Source organism: Homo sapiens, chromosome 15, assembly GCF_000001405.40.
Source record: "Homo sapiens chromosome 15, GRCh38.p14 Primary Assembly".
Classification (NCBI taxonomy): Eukaryota; Metazoa; Chordata; class Mammalia; order Primates; family Hominidae; genus Homo; species Homo sapiens.
Genome location: NC_000015.10, coordinates 51,106,800 through 51,122,327, shown reverse-complemented (window position 1 = coordinate 51,122,327; position 15,528 = coordinate 51,106,800). Strand labels below are relative to the sequence as shown.

The following is a 15,528-nucleotide window of genomic DNA, read 5'->3' as shown; positions in this document are numbered from 1 at the left end:
ATCTTACAACCCTCCAGTGAATTACTGGATCTAGACATCAAACACCAATGGCTGCTAATATAAGATAAAAAAGTGAAAAACAGACATTATGAGCCTCCTAATGAAAAAACACACACCACTAACAATCCAGTTAAAGGGATCAAATATAGGTTCAATCAAACCTCTGGATACAGCTGCCAATTTGTAGGAAATATACAGGATGGAGAAACATTGAATTTCACCGCAAGAATGCAATTTGCAAAACCATGACTATCAAAATCTCCATATGTCAAATGGAACAGGTTTTTCAAAAGATAAACTGTCAGAAGAAGAAAGAGATGGAGGGGAATCTGCAGTTTGAAAGAGATTTAAAAGACATATCAGATTTCTTTAAGGAGCAAAATTAAACTTGAGTGTCTAGGGATGCACAATTGGAGTGATAAAACTGTAAAGATATGCAAGGAAGTGGTTACCATAAAAGTCAAGATCATGGTTACTTTTGGAGGGATGGAGGAGGTCATCATTGGAACAGGGCCCATGAAAGGGCTTCTAGGGTAGCTGGCAGAATTCTGTTTTTTCACTTGGGAGGAGGTTAGAATGATGTTTGCCTTATAACAATCCTCTAAGCTATCATTTCTTTTGTTTTACATTTTCCATATTTGTGTTTTATAATAAAACAATCAAAATTGAACAAAGAAATGTTTTGCCAGTAAAAATTATTTCAATCTTCAATTAATAAGGATGCTGGAAGAAAATATTAAAGAGCAGAAAAGTATCCACTATAATCAAAGAAATAATTGAAGAAATTTTTTCCTAATCTGAAGACACACTCAACAAGGCTATGGAAAGGATGTGTAGGCTGCTATACAGGAGTAATCCTTACAGAAAACAGTTTCTAGAAGGACTTTTGACTAAGAAGGCTGAGAGCTTAAGCCACTGCCAAGGAGTTGCTCAGGGCAACCTCAGCTTGAGCCAGGAGAGGCATTGTTTCCTGATAAAGAAGAGGTGATCGCCTGGTGTAGTCCAAGTCACCCTGTGAGTCAGGGAACATGAGTTCCTGTTTTAGCCCTGCACTGCCTCCCTCTGTGACCTTGGGTGAGTCACCTAACCTCAGTCTGTCTCCAGCAGAATGGGGAGTAGGTGTAGGATGAAATATTTTAGAGTCTCTTCCAGCTCTATCTTTGTATACTTTTATGATTCTAAAGCAGGGTCTCTCACAGCGTGATCTACTAACCACCTGTATTAGAATCATGGCCTGACGAACAAGCCAGATTCCTTGGCCTCATTCAGATCCACTAAGTCAGACTCTCTAGGTATGGGACCCTGGAATCTGATTTTGTTCAAGGACCCCATTTGTTTCTTGTAACCCTAGTTTGAGGGCCACTGTTCTAAGGTATTGTTTAGGTAGAACGAGGGGGATGATGGGGGTCAGGACATACTACCCCAAGATATGGCACCTTGGCATTTGAGAAAACAGCAGTGGCAGGAAGGTCTCCCTGGCCTTCTCCCACCCTCCTCTCCTGATGCAGGCCATGAAAGAATTCTCTAATCTTCTAAAAGTAGGTCATAAAAGCCTCATTCCAGAGACATCCTCCTTATACCTGGAGGAAAGAAATGTCACACAGAGACACAGAGAAGCATCTGAACAAACAGGCCATGGTAAGTTCCCCCCAGTTTATTACCAGTAAATCACACCCTTCTGTCCTCCAATCATACTTCTGCATGACTGTCCATAAAAATATAGTTTCCTCTGTTTCTTTGAGTCTTTATTTCTGAAGGCTCCAGTGTCACATGAAACTCATATTAAATAAATGTGTATGCTTTTCTTTTGTTAATCTGCCTTTTGTTATAAAGGTCTCAGGCATGAACCTATTGATGGATGAGGAAAGAAATTTCTTCTTCCCTACAGAGAAAAGACCTCACATCTCTTCAACTCCTTCCTTATGTCAAGCACCATACTAGGCATTTGATTATATAGTTTAGATTATTAGATTATGTCATATCTCATTTAATCTTTAGAGCTACCCAGGGAAGAAGGTCGTGTCCCTGTCTTACCAATGAGGAGAGGGCAGCTCAGAGGGTTTTGGTCACAAAGCCGATAGAGGTGATGGATCCATGTTAACTGAAGGGCTGCTTCTCGAAAAGTTAGGAAGGGAGGGAGGGAACTAAATTCACTGAGAAAATATCCCAGGATTGGAAAGATCCTAGCTGGATGAGTCTGTTCTGCTCTCAGCACAGATATATTCTGGAAAAAAAAACAAACAAACTTTGTCTTCTTTCCTATTATAAAGAGAAGGGCAGGCAGGAGTAACAGGGAGGGATGATATGGAGAGAGATAAGCAAAGTTAAGACTTTTCCTTTGTTGACTTGGAAACCATTTGAAGCTTCTGGTGCAGGAAAATAAGTAGTCCAGAAAAATCTTAAAGCTAAGTAGCCCAAAGATGGAGAATAAGACATCGAGGAATAGCTGTGACTCCAGGAGGTAAAGGAGGAATTTATAACACAGCAACATATTGACACATTGATTTTTTTAAAAGTTGCTATAAAATATTATCTTTAAATATAGGGAGTACTTAATAGACCTCAAATGCCTTAATAAAGAAGAATATTTATAAATAAGGACCGAAGATGTCATGAATAGAAGCAGATCTCAAGCACACAATGCCTTAGAGTACAGATCATGTGTTTGAAGCCCTGTGGTCTGGGTCCAGCATATCTAATACATGGGAAGAGATGATATTAACCTTCTTAAAGGTGGAATCTGCAAATAAAATGAGTGAAATTCTCGGCCAATGGCACAACTATGTGGGAGAGGAGCAGAATTTGCTTACAAATATCTGCTAGAATTTCCTAAACTAAATCAAAGGTCTGGAAGGGGCTGCCGTGTAGGTAGTGCTTGGCTCACTCAACAGGGAGAATAGAGCTAAGAAAGCCTCTGGCTACCAGACTCAGGGTGTGGGAAGTGGTTTAGTCAGACGGCATAGCCACTAAGATCACAGAAGGGTTTGCAGCCTACCAGCCACAGCCACTGAGCTAGACACTACAGGGGAGGCATTTCTGCCCTCAGGGAGCTTATCAAGCCAGTGGGAGGCCAGTCACACACAAAGAAAAGGTGACTAATGAGAAGAGATGGTGGAATGAGAACTACAGGGCGAGATGTACAAGAAGTGCTATAGAAGTACAAAGGAATGAGACACTGGAAAGGCCTAGGCTTCCAGGGAAGGGAGTTTTTTTTTTGTTTTGTTTTTTGTTTTTTTAATTGTACTTTAAGTTTTAGGGTACATGTGCACATTGTGCAGGTTAGTTACATATGTATACATGTGCCGTGCTGGTGCGCTGCACCCACTAACTCGTCATCTAGCATTAGGTATATCTCCCAATGCTATCCCTCCCCCCTCCCCCCACCCCACCACAGTCCCCAGAGTGTGATATTCCCCTTCCTGTGTCCATGTGATCTCATTGTTCAATTCCCACCTATGAGTGAGAATATGCGGTGTTTGGTTTTTTGTTCTTGCGATAGTTTACTGAGAATGATGATTTCCAATTTCATCCATGTCCCTACAAAGGACGTGAACTCATCATTTTTTATGGCTGCATAGTATTCCATGGTGTATATGTGCCACATTTTCTTAATCCAGTCTATCATTGTTGGACATTTGGGTTGGTTCCAAGTCTTTGCTATTGTGAATAATGCCACAATAAACATACGTGTGCATGTGTCTTTATAGCAGCATGATTTATAGTCATTTGGGTATATACCCAGTAATGGGATGGCTGGGTCAAATGGTATTTCTAGTTCTAGGAAGGGAGTTTTTAAGGAGAAGAAAGACTTCTAAGCCAGACTGCAAATGGGGGGAAGGTGAGCAGAGGCACAGAGTGAGCACACCACATGGCATATTGGGAGCATGGGAAGTCAGCCAATTTCGTTGGAGGAAAGGGTTCCTACAAGAAATGGAAGGTTGCAAAGAGCCAGATTGGACATGGAGTACAGGGTTTGAATGACAAGATTAAAGAGCTTGCAAGTTATTTTATAGGCAATAGGAAGCTACTGAAAGATTGGGAATAACATAACCATTATAAATCCCAGATCCATGTGTCCAGGCTTTATATGGAGTAACAATAAAAAACACAATCCAAACAGTGAAAATCAACCAAAAAGAAGAAAAATTCCTGTCTTTTACTTCCATCTCTCCAATGCATAGCTCCCAGCAATTCTTCTTCAATCCCTGTTTTTCCCCCTCCTCCTCCAAACACACTACTCCATAATCTTTTATTTGCTATATGCCTAATCGCCTCCTTCACTTCTTTCGTTTTCTCCTCTCTTCCTGCACTTTATTATAAAAATCAACTTCAATTTTTGGGCTAAGCTGTTCCCCTTCCACTCTAACCTCTCTGTTCCAACCTTTCTGTGTCGCAAAAGTCCTGGAACCCTTCAGACAAATGAAAGCACTCCTAACTGGGGTTGGGGAGTCGGGGAAGGGATGAGATATAGGGAGCAAGAGTTGAGGTATAAAGACAACATTCTCCTAATCAAAAGGAGAGAAGGGAATATTCAAGTCTAAATATATTTTATCTCATCACTGTAAGATGGGGTATGAGGAAAAAATAGCGTCTTAAGAAAATGTCTACAATTATTGATCTGACCCAGAGATGTTGAGTATTCTCCAAAATCCTGACTGTTATGATCAACACAGAGAGAATCCTAGACAGGTACATGCAAAACCATAGTCAGGTAGATATGGGCATGATGCAGTGTTTTTATGATTGGGAGCCAATGGCTGGATGGACAGGTTCAGTGAGAGGAGGGCAAGCATGAGAGAATGGTGAGCTGAAAGATTGTGTGTCATCAGGGCTGACACCAAAGATGGTGAATTATTGGCAATACTGACAAGGAAAGCTAAATTTCTGTGATTTTTCTCAAGGTTAATGAGTCACCAGTCAACCACATCCAAACACTTCAAGCTGCATGTCTAGGTCTTCTGAGAGGAATAAAAATGAAAGAGTTTATGTTTGTATTCTCGTTAAAATTTATTTTATCTTAGGCATAATTTCAGACTTATAGAAAAGTTGCAAGAATAACTAGTTATTTTGTAGAATATCCCAGATTTGGCTTTCTCTGATGTTTCATCATCATTAGATTCCGATTATGCCCTTTTAGCATCACATAGTAATGCCATTGGGTTCTTCTGAATGTCTCATATCAGGAGGAAGCGTATTTTTATTTGAAAGTAAATTACACAGGGTGTTTTTTCAGAGAATGATTCTGCAGAAAGTATGTTTAGATATAAAAAGGAGAACAAACAGCTCCTAAAGGAACCATAGTAGAAACAACTGAACAATGGAGTTATTTTCCAAGATGACACCAGAACATGGAGCTGCTTTCTTTTCTTTTTTTTTTTTCTGTCTACAAAATGTGTTTATGTGTCTTGTCCTGAGGGCATGTAACCCCAGTTAGCTTTTAAAACTTTAAAAATCATGTATTGTAAGGAACATAATTCTGTATTAGTCTCTTTATAATATACCCATAAAATGGAATGCCATGAAGCCATTAAAATGATGATGTCTAATCATATGAATAGATATGAAAAAGTGTGCAGAATAAGATTTAAAAAGCAGGGTGCAAAGGGTACTGAACCAGCCAGGCCATCACTTGCTTAGATTGTGACAGAGGCCACCTTCTGGGTCCAATTACTTGTCTTTACAAGCTACTTTATATTTGTCTCTGAAATTCCCTTCCTGAAACACAGGTCTGACCATGTCATTCCTCTGCTCAAAACCAACATGCAGATTTCCCACAGGGTGCTTGTCCCATGGAGATGTTAATAGCCGATAGGACAGCATTTTTAAATAGCAGGGGAAGTCAATACCCACAGAAGTTTAACTTTTTTTTTTTTGAGATGGTGTCTCACTCTGTTGCCCAGGCTGGAGGGAGCGGTGGCGCGATCTCGGTTTACCGCAACCTCCACCTCCCAGGTTCAAGCGATTGTCCTATCTCAACCTCCCGAGTAGCTGGGATTACAGGTGCACGCCACCATGTCCAGCTAATTTTTGTATTCTTAGTAGAGACAGGGTCTCACAATGTTGGGCAAATTAGTCTTGAACTCCTGACCTCAAATTATCCACCCGCCTCGACCTCCCAAAGTGCTGAGATTACAGGTGTGAGCCACTGCATTTGGCCCAGAAGTTTAACTTTTTAATAAACACTGGGTTAAACAAAGCCCAACAGGTTTCTTTACTGCAGAACTTATCAGAGTCCTTCATATGCTAATGGCACTTTGAATTTCCAAGAAAGAGTTCATTAGCGTATTATTTCTCAAATTTATTTGACTTCAGAATTCTTTCAATTTGCACAGAACATTCATGCTTTAGGAAAGATCCTAAAGGAGACAGGGCCACAAGATGGAAAGAGCCTGGACTCCTGACTCACTTTTTGGGACTGAGCCTCCCAGAGAGCAGCCCTATGAGAAACACCTGTGATGGACTAGTGGGTGGGTGAAAAATAAACTTTTATTGTGTTCAGCCGCTTAAACATCAGGGTTGTTTGTTATAGCAGTTAGCCTATGCTGTCCAATATGGAATGCATGCAGGTATTTAAGTTATTTGTCAAAGAATAGATTATCTTTTTTGGCCTACAGAGTTTTTGTCACAAACAATAATAGGTCACAAGACTTGTAGCCTTACTAAGGTGGTATGATAAGTCTTTGCAAACAGTATCTCATTTAATTCTCTTGACCACCCAGTAGGATAAGTACAATTATCGGCCCATCTCACAGATGAAGAAGCTAAAGCTCACAAAGATTGAGAATTTGAGATAGTAAGCCCAGGATATGCATGCAGGTCATTTGACTTTGGGTCCTTGATCTTAATCACATCAAGGTCCTACCTCCTAGGCCCAAGTTATGAGGTCAGAAAAGCTGGGTTCCAGGTGCGATTTGGTTAGTTACCTAGACTAACTGAACATCTACACAACTTACTTCCATTCTTTTTATTTAGATCAGTGGCTCCCAATCAGGGTTGATTTTGCTTCCCCAGGAGACATTTGGCAATATATGGAGACATTTTGGGTTGTCACAAGTGGGGAGGTACTACTGGTATCTAGTTGGTAGAGGCCAAACATGCTGCCACAGCATCATACAATGCAAAGGGCAGCTCCCAACAACAAAGAACCACCTGCCCCAAAATGCCATAGTGCCAATGTGGAGAAATTTTATATGTTTTATTGACAGAGCCCAAATGTCCAGAATAAATCCACACTCTTGCTTGGAATAAGAAGCTTACTTTAAAACCCTGCCTTAGGCTTTAATTCCTAAAAGGGCAAGAAAGGCCATAACCAACAAGTAGCTTTTGGCGCTCAGAGATGTGAGCCTTGGCCATTTTTGGAGGGAATCCAGCCCAAAGAAGACTTTGCCGCATATAAAGAATTCGGTTTGGCAGGACCTCAGGAACAATACATGGTGACAGAATAGAAATTCCTCTTGAAAGAATGCCAAACCTTTTTGGTTTCCTAGTAACATAATTTTCCTGAGATTTCTCTCACATTTAAATTTGCAGCATCCCTACACCTATTTTAAATCAAGGCAACAAAAGAAGATTTTTATGAAAAGATGACATAATTGAATCATCTTCTTGGAGAGAGAAGGAAACCTAAGGGCCATCTGGTCTTTTCCCTTGCCCACCTCTTCTGGCACATGGCACCCCTGTTTCAACATCATATGATGCAGGGCAGGGATGTCACCATCACAAGGATCCAGTTTCATTTCCAGAACGGTCTGTTCAAAACTTCTTTCAGGGCCAGAAACCTGCTTCTCTGACCTCTGTGTTTCCTGCCCCTCATTCAATGCACTCAGGGAGGGTAGTGGGAGAAGGAATGAGGAGATGGGTACGGGGGTGGGGAAGTGTTCTTCCATGAAAGCTTACTGGGTCCCAGGCTTTGTGCACCTCATTTCTAATCCTCCAGCATCTCTCATAGCAACCTCAGGTAGTGATCATGCACAGCCTCCCTGCCCCTGCATGTTGTCTCTTTTCCAGATGAAACATCGTGAGATCTGTTTTCACATGGAAACATCCCTTTGGCACCCTGTTCATTCATTCATTCACTCATTTATTCAGCACATAATTACTGGGCACCTATGATCTGCCAGGCTTGTGTCAGAGACTTGGGATAGAACTTTGGGCAAAATGGCTTGTCTGGAAAGCAGGGCTGGCAATACAGTCAGCGAGGGAAGCCCTCGACTTAGGGACTATTATTATTATTAACTTCAGCAAAAATTTTCCATGCCAGCACCCTATGCGGTAGCCTAGGGCATCAGGAATATATCCCAGAGGGAGTGATGTCTAGCTGGGCGGGTAAGCAGAGATCCAAAGGGTTTCACCAGGTAGCAGGGCATGTAGAGTGTTACAGGCAGAGGTAACAGTTTGTGCAAACACCACAGGGGCACCCATGGCACTGAAAACAGGTTGGCGTGGCTGATCTGAGGGAGGCTGGACTGATGCTGGAGAGGTGGGCCCAGACTGGTGGGCCCTGCAGGTCGTGTAATGGATTTGGGTTTTTAGCTGAAGGGCCACAAGGACCACTGAAGCTGAGAAACAGCAGGATTGGATTCAACTTGCAGAAAGCCAGTCCTGGGGGCTGTGTGGAGAATGGGTCAGAAGAAGCAGGAAGGCAGGGACTCTGTGTGGGAGGCTGTGTAGTTGCCCTGCCTCCCTCAGGGGTATGGTGGTGGCAGGGACTGAGAGAAGGAACAGTGATGGCAGAGAGGTTAGGGGTCTTTAACCACTTCCCATAATCTCGATCAAAGCACCTCCGAAAGTCACCTCAATAAACAGAAAGTTAAATTCAAAGCAGTGTTTAGCTATGCTCCTACGGCTAGGAAATGAGCCCCCAGCCCTGTAACCCTCCCAGCAGCAGATATTCTTTGAGCACTCCCATGTTGAAATTCGGTATCCAGCTTGAAGAAATAGAGGTATTTAGGGTAGATATGACTTGGTATTTGGACATGAGACACAGAGAGAGAGAGAAGGAAAGAAGGATGACCGGTCCCAGGCTTAGGCAGTGAGTGGATGTTGGCGAGGGAGTGTGTTTCTTGGCGGGGAAGAGGGATTCACTCGGGCCAGGTGAAGTTAGGTAGTCCAAGTGCAGAGAGAGAAATGTGGAGCCCCAAGAGAATCTGGGTGTGAGAAGTCAAAGGACAAAAGGATGAGCCTGGCAACAGAATGAACTCTCTTGAGATATCCCTGAAATCTTCAGGGATCTCCACAAAACTCACAAAACACTCACCACAATGTGTGCCCATGGTAACTGTAGTGTGCCTGAGCTCTGCATCAGGGGGATGTATAAGAAAATGGGGGCCGGGCGCAGTGGCTCACGCCTGTAATCCCAGCACTTTGGGAGGCCGAGGCGGGTGGATCACAAGATCAGGATTTCGAGACCAGCCTGGCCAACATGGTGAAATCCCATCTCTACTAAAGTTACAAAATATTAGCCAGGTGTGGTGGTGCATGCCTGTAATCCCAGGAGACTGAGGTGGGAGAATCTCTTGAACATGGGAGAATCTCTTGAACCGAGGAGGCGAAGGTTGCAGTGAGCTGAGATCATGCCATTGCACTCCAGCCGGGGCGACAGGGTGAGTCTCCATCTCGAAAAAAAAAAAAAGAAAGAAAAGAAAAGAAAGAAAGAAAAGAAAATGGGACGCAGAAGCCAGAAGCTGAGGGGACCACAAGATTGTCACACCCCGGGGCTTCATCAGCCTGTGGAAGTAGGTAGAGTTGGGGAGAGAGAGATGTCTAGAGAATCTCACCTAGAATGCAAGGAGAGGGAGATCCCTAATTCGCATCTGAATTACGTATGCCAGGGCCTTTGGTACAAGAGTTCATTTGCAGAAAGCTCATTGCATTACCATCATCCCCCTGCAAAAAAAGTTTTGCTGCTTGGAGATGATGCCTCCAGAGGTAGTGTGATGAAAACATTGTCAAATAAATCAGCAAACCTCTCATGGTAGAATTTTAGGCACTGTAGCAGATTATGAGGAACACGCCTGGTGGCAGAGAGGACATTTGGCACTTCAGAGTGCCAAGTGATCTCCCAACAGTGCCCAGTAGCTCACAGCTCTGGGGACACTGGGCCTTCTCCTGGCTCTCCCTGAGGAATGAGGAGACCCAAATGAAACCACAACAGAAAACAAATGATACTTTCTGAGCCAAAGAAAGTTGCCTTCAAATCTATGTTTTTGTAATTCCTCCTGGAAACAGGGTTGATTTTCCCTATGAGTTCTACATCTGGAGGCTGAGTGAAAACAGAACTAACCAGTTGCACAGGAGCTTCCTAATCTACTAGAAAGCTCTCAAAAAGCCACGTGAGATAAATGTGGAACTTTTTCAAAACACCAGTTTAATTCAAAATAATTTTCAGTTTGAATGTCATGAAAATTTTAAAATATTTTTCCATTCTCATTTCAGGTTCCTCTTGTTGAAATGGCATTGTCTTTATTTACTTTTTGTTTTGTTTTTAAACACATAGCTCAGCAACAAGACGCCTTATAGTCTGCCTGCCGGCAGAGGGTTTGGGGTACTTGTCTTGCACCTGCTCTGCATTGCCTCCTGTCCCCCAAAATCCAGCTATTAACTCCTTAAGACTGGAAGGGTCTCATTTTTCACTGTGTCCTCAGCAGGCCCAAGACCATACCTGACAGGTAATAGTTGCTCAGTGAGAACCTGCAGATCTGAGGGGAATTGTGGGGGAAGACAGCAGTGTGGTTTTTCCATCAGGAAAACAGGGTCATGGGGCAGCTGCCTCGAGAGGTCACTTGGTCCTCTGCTCTGGGTGCCCCATGATGGCAGGGGCCAGGCTGTAACTGGCTTTGTGTTCCCAGCCCTTGCTACCCACCAGGCATTCAATGAAAGTTGGATGTAGGAGGCTAGGCATTAGGGCCAGGAAAAAGAATATTTATACATCAGGGAAAATACTACAAATGCAGAATTTTTTCTTTTTGGAATCAGGGAACTCCAGGCCAGATAAGCAGAGCCGTTTTTGTTGCTGGAATAGTAGAGCTGTCACTGGTGGAGGATGATGGGAGAGTTTCCAGGATCTTCATTCCTGGTGGGCGAACAATGTGAGCAGGATGCATAGATCAGCTCCTTGATGCCTAGAGCAATAGAACTGTCCCTGTTATCATTCTCCATTCAGAACCTCTTCCTGCACACATTCAATAAGAAGGACTCTGGGGAAGACAGGTTTAGGTTTCAACCAAAACTTCACCACTTACCAGCTGTGTGACCTTGGCCAAATTACTTAGCCATTTCCTCATCTGTAAAATTGGGCTAAAACTTAGTAGTATTACCTCATTGAGAAGTGGGGTAGATTAAATGAAATCTTGACATATGAAAGGCACAGTTCCTGGCACATAGCAAGCACTCAGTACATTTCCCCAGGGCGGGAGAGGCTTAGCCAGGGCGGGCTAGGTGGAAGGTGTTTGCCCACAACTGCTCTCACAGCTCTTGATAATTTCACGCAAACAGGTCCAAGCTCAGTAAAGGGATGGGAGGATGGTTGTGGGGGACGGTTATGGGGTAGCACAGAAGCTGGGACAGAATAGGGCTGGGGCAAAGGGGAGCCACCTGCGAGATGCCTGCCCCCACTGCTTGTGCAGGGCAGGTGGGAAGTGGCCAATCAAAGGCTATAGAGGTCATCCCAGGGAGGGCCCTGGAAAGCACCCTGTAGCCAGGATGATATTTGCTGATACAGAAGAGAAGGATGGGGTTATAGCCCTAAGAGAGTCGACAGGCAGTTTCCACGGCCTCATCCAGGTCACCAGGGCTCAGGATGGAGCCCCCGAGTGAGTGCTCTACCAGGGCTTACTCCACGCCTTCTAGGCACTCAAACTGGGGAATCAGGAGTAACTGCTCCTGTCACTCCACCTCTCTGACTTCCTCACTACCACCCTTTCCATGCCTCCACCCAACCACCTGGGCCTCCTGCTGTTCCTCAGCCCCACCAAGCAGGCTCCCACTCAGGGGCTCTGCCCCAGCCACTCCCTGTCCTGGCATGCTGGTTGGTCCCAATAGCTCACTCATTGCTTATAGCTCTCTGCCCAGTTGTCACCTCAGCCAAGAGAACCTCTCTGTCTGCCATATACAATATCATTCACATCTTTCCCCATCCTTTTCACTCTCCAGCCCCACCTCATTGTCTCCCCAGTACTTGCCACCATATCACCAATGTATATTACCGGTGAACTTGTTGTTCTCTACTTCCTACACTATAATGTGTGCTCCATGAAGGCAGGGACTTTGTTCACTCCAGTATGCCCAGAGTCTGGCCAAAATGCCTGATCCCTGAGATGGACCTGCCCAATAACTATTTGCTGACTTAATAATGAGTGAGTGAACTGCCAAACCCTATCTGCTGGCATGTGAAGGACACTAACATCCTGAACTGGTACAGACAAAACCAGGACCTTACGAAGGTCACAGGTACTAGTTGCTAGTAGGTTGGGAACTGGGGAGGAGAGGGCTGAGTTTACAGAGGGCAGTAGCCTACCTTGACTCCCATCTACCTGCTTCAAGTATCAATCCAGGAAAATTTTTATTAGGGAACTCTTGGACACTGAAAAATTCCTTTTGATTCAGTGATGTGAAGCACTGATGACAGAACTTCAGGCGCCATGGCCAGCAGGGAGAAGGTGTCCAGCTGTTTGGCTCACCCAAATCACCCCTTGAGTCACTTCATACCTACTTATAACTCCAGTAGTAACCAAAAGATCATTTACACAGACAAGCCATTAGAGAAATTTGAGAATTTAAGTCATAGTTTCAGCAGTATTACCCAGATAAACAGCAGCTTGTGGTTAGGTCTTGGATGGAGTTCTTGCCCACAGGTCAGGGTTTCTCCTTTCTGGTGCTTAAAATCACTGCCTCACCAAGAAGGCAGCAAGTAGGGTATCATTACAGTGAACAATTCATGACACAAAATGCAAGAATGTCCAAGCCCCACCCAGAAGCCCATGGTCATGATGCTTGCCTGATCTGCTCATGACTGAATCCATTGAGAGGAATTATTTTGGTACCAAGAACACATTTCCCAGTTCCCGTCCATATATGGGGAGAAATGGCATGCCTCTGTGTGTCAGTGCCCAGAAACAAGCAGGCTCTCAGAGTTGGGAATGACAGAAGCCTCACCCACAGTCTAGCCGACATCTGAGATGTTTCCAGGGAGCCTCGCTGAAGAAGCAGTGTTATTTTCCAGAGGAGGTCAGGGCACAGTGGTGATAATGTGGAAGAGGAGAAAGAAAATGAAACATCCTGTTCTGAAAGCATGAGCTCAGAAAGTAATGGTTGTGTAAGAGACTGTCCCTTGCAGGAATGTCACTATTCCTTCTTGTGACTACACCTTCCCTACCAGGGCACTGAATTTCTTCTGGGCCATGACTAATTACAACGAAACCCCCTCTCCACGAAAATCACATCTGCATGGTGTTCACATGAACAGGATCTGATCTGTGCCTTCAGCAAAATAAGATAGCTGCAAGCCCATGGAGCTGTTTTATCAGGATTAAATAAAATTGTGTACCTAAAGGACCTAGAAAATCTGTACCTGGGAGTCAGTGTGTGCTCAAGAAATATTATTTTTCCTGTCTAAGGATCTCATTATTTTGCTTACTACATGATATTGTGTTGCCTTGCAGTGATGATTATTTCTTTTAACATCTGGCTTAGACTACCCCTTTTAGCTTCTTGCATTTTTGTTTTAGAGAGTATAGATTATGTTTGGTTTTTAGTTGCAATAAAGTTATATGTTGGAACTAGCTCAGTCTAATAATAATCTCAAACATTATAGTGATTTGAGGGACATTTGTTCCCTTCATTAATCCATTTACCTCATGTTGTTCCAGAAGTATTTTGAGGGGGCTACAAAAATAAATATAGCAGGATACAACGAGATAAGATTAATTATTACAAGTTGGTTCCAAAATTGGTCCCAAGCATCAGAGAAGCCAAAGCAAAGAGGGAAAACTGAGCAATGATAAGATTCACAGTATTTGCAAGATGCCAGTTGCTTCAAGAAAGCAGTTTTTCTTGCAGTAAGCCCTAAATGAACTCTGTTCTGTCCTCAACAGTATCTCTACAGAATAGCTGCCTCTGATCCTGCCTTTTGGTACAAACCAGGGCACCACACCCAAGAGCAGCTGAAGACAAGATCTAAGCAAGGTAGGTTTCTGCTGGACTAGTGTGATTCAGGGGTGGGATCTTCCTGGCAAGAGGAATCAGTGAGATGTACATTTGTTCCAGTTACTATAGGTGCATAACAAATTACCCCAAAACCTAGTAGCTTAAAATTATTATTTTAGTTTGCTTACAATTTTGAGCAAGAGTAATGTGGACAGGGAACAACAAGGAAAGCTTGCTCTGTTCCACGATATTTGGTGTTCACATAGGGGCAATGTGAAAGGCGGAATCTGGAAGCATCTTTACTTACACAGCTGATGGCTGGTGCTGGCTGTTGGCTGGGACAGGGGCACTCACACATGGCTTGTCCACATGACCCAGGCTGCCTCACTGCATGGAGGTTGACAGTAATCAGAATTCTTCTGCAGCAGCTAAGCGCTCCAAATGTGAATGTCCCAGAGAGCCAGACAAAAGCTGGATAGTCTTTTCTGGCCTAGCCTCAGAAGTTATCCAAAGTCCCTTTCACTGAATTTGGTTGGTTGCAAAGCAAGTCACAAGCCCAACCAGATTCAAAGAAAGGGGACGTAGACCCCACTTCTTGGTAGAAGGCATGTCATCACATTATAAAAAAGCATGTGGATGGGAGATATGGTTGCCACCATCTTTGGAAAACAGAATTTTCTACAACATCCTCTATGCAATCACTTATACATACTGTATCTTGCAATAAAGCCTTTGATAAGAATTGACAGACCTTGATCCTTAAAGGGTATCTTTTTGGTGTCAAACACTAGATGAATAGTCTAAATAGGTATACAGCACACTTGAGAGCCACTGTGACTGTAAACTAAATGGCTCAACAGAATCTGGGTCCTCAAATATATTAGCATGCTCAGGCTGCCATCACAAAATACCACAGGCTAGGTGGCTTAAACAACAAAAACTAATTTTCTCACCATTCTGGAGCCGGAAAGTCTAAGATTAGGGTGCCAGTATGATTGGTTTCTGGTGAGGCTTTACCTTTGGGTAGCAGATGGGCACCTTCTGGCTGTGTACTCAGCTGACCTTTCTTGTGAGCAAAGAGAGTGAGAGAGTTCTTGTGTCTCTTCTTATAAGGGCATTAATCCCATTATAAGGGTCCCACCCTCGTGACTTCATCTAACCCTAATTACCTCCCAAAGGCCTGCTCTTCAAATACTATCACATAGAAGCTAGGCCTCTACATGTGAGTTTGGAATGGACACGAATATCCAGGCATAACATCATGGTTACAGACATGTCAGCATTCAGTGGAAAATGGCATCAATCCCTGAATATTTCCAAATATCTGGAGTCTTTAATCAAGTGGACAACTTACCCATACACATGAATTTTTCACTTTCTGTCAAC

The 15,528-nt window shown here is 43.5% G+C and overlaps 1 long non-coding RNA gene across 1 annotated transcript in view, besides 1 other annotated feature; it reads right to left on the bottom strand.

Moving 5' to 3' along the window:
* The window catches only part of MIR4713HG (MIR4713 host gene), a 256,425-nt gene that overhangs the window by 171,585 nt on the left and 69,312 nt on the right, over positions 1-15,528 (bottom strand). The gene's annotated exons all lie outside the window — the stretch shown is intronic.
* Positions 882-1,176: an enhancer, noted in NCBI's record as "tiled region #3311; K562 Activating DNase unmatched - State 12:CtcfO, and HepG2 Activating DNase matched - State 9:DNaseU". NCBI's record gives its function as "activates a minimal TATA promoter and a strong SV40 promoter by Sharpr-MPRA in K562 cells, with weaker activation in HepG2 cells {active_cell/tissue: HepG2 | K562}" and the evidence as "EXISTENCE:reporter gene assay evidence [ECO:0000049][PMID:27701403]".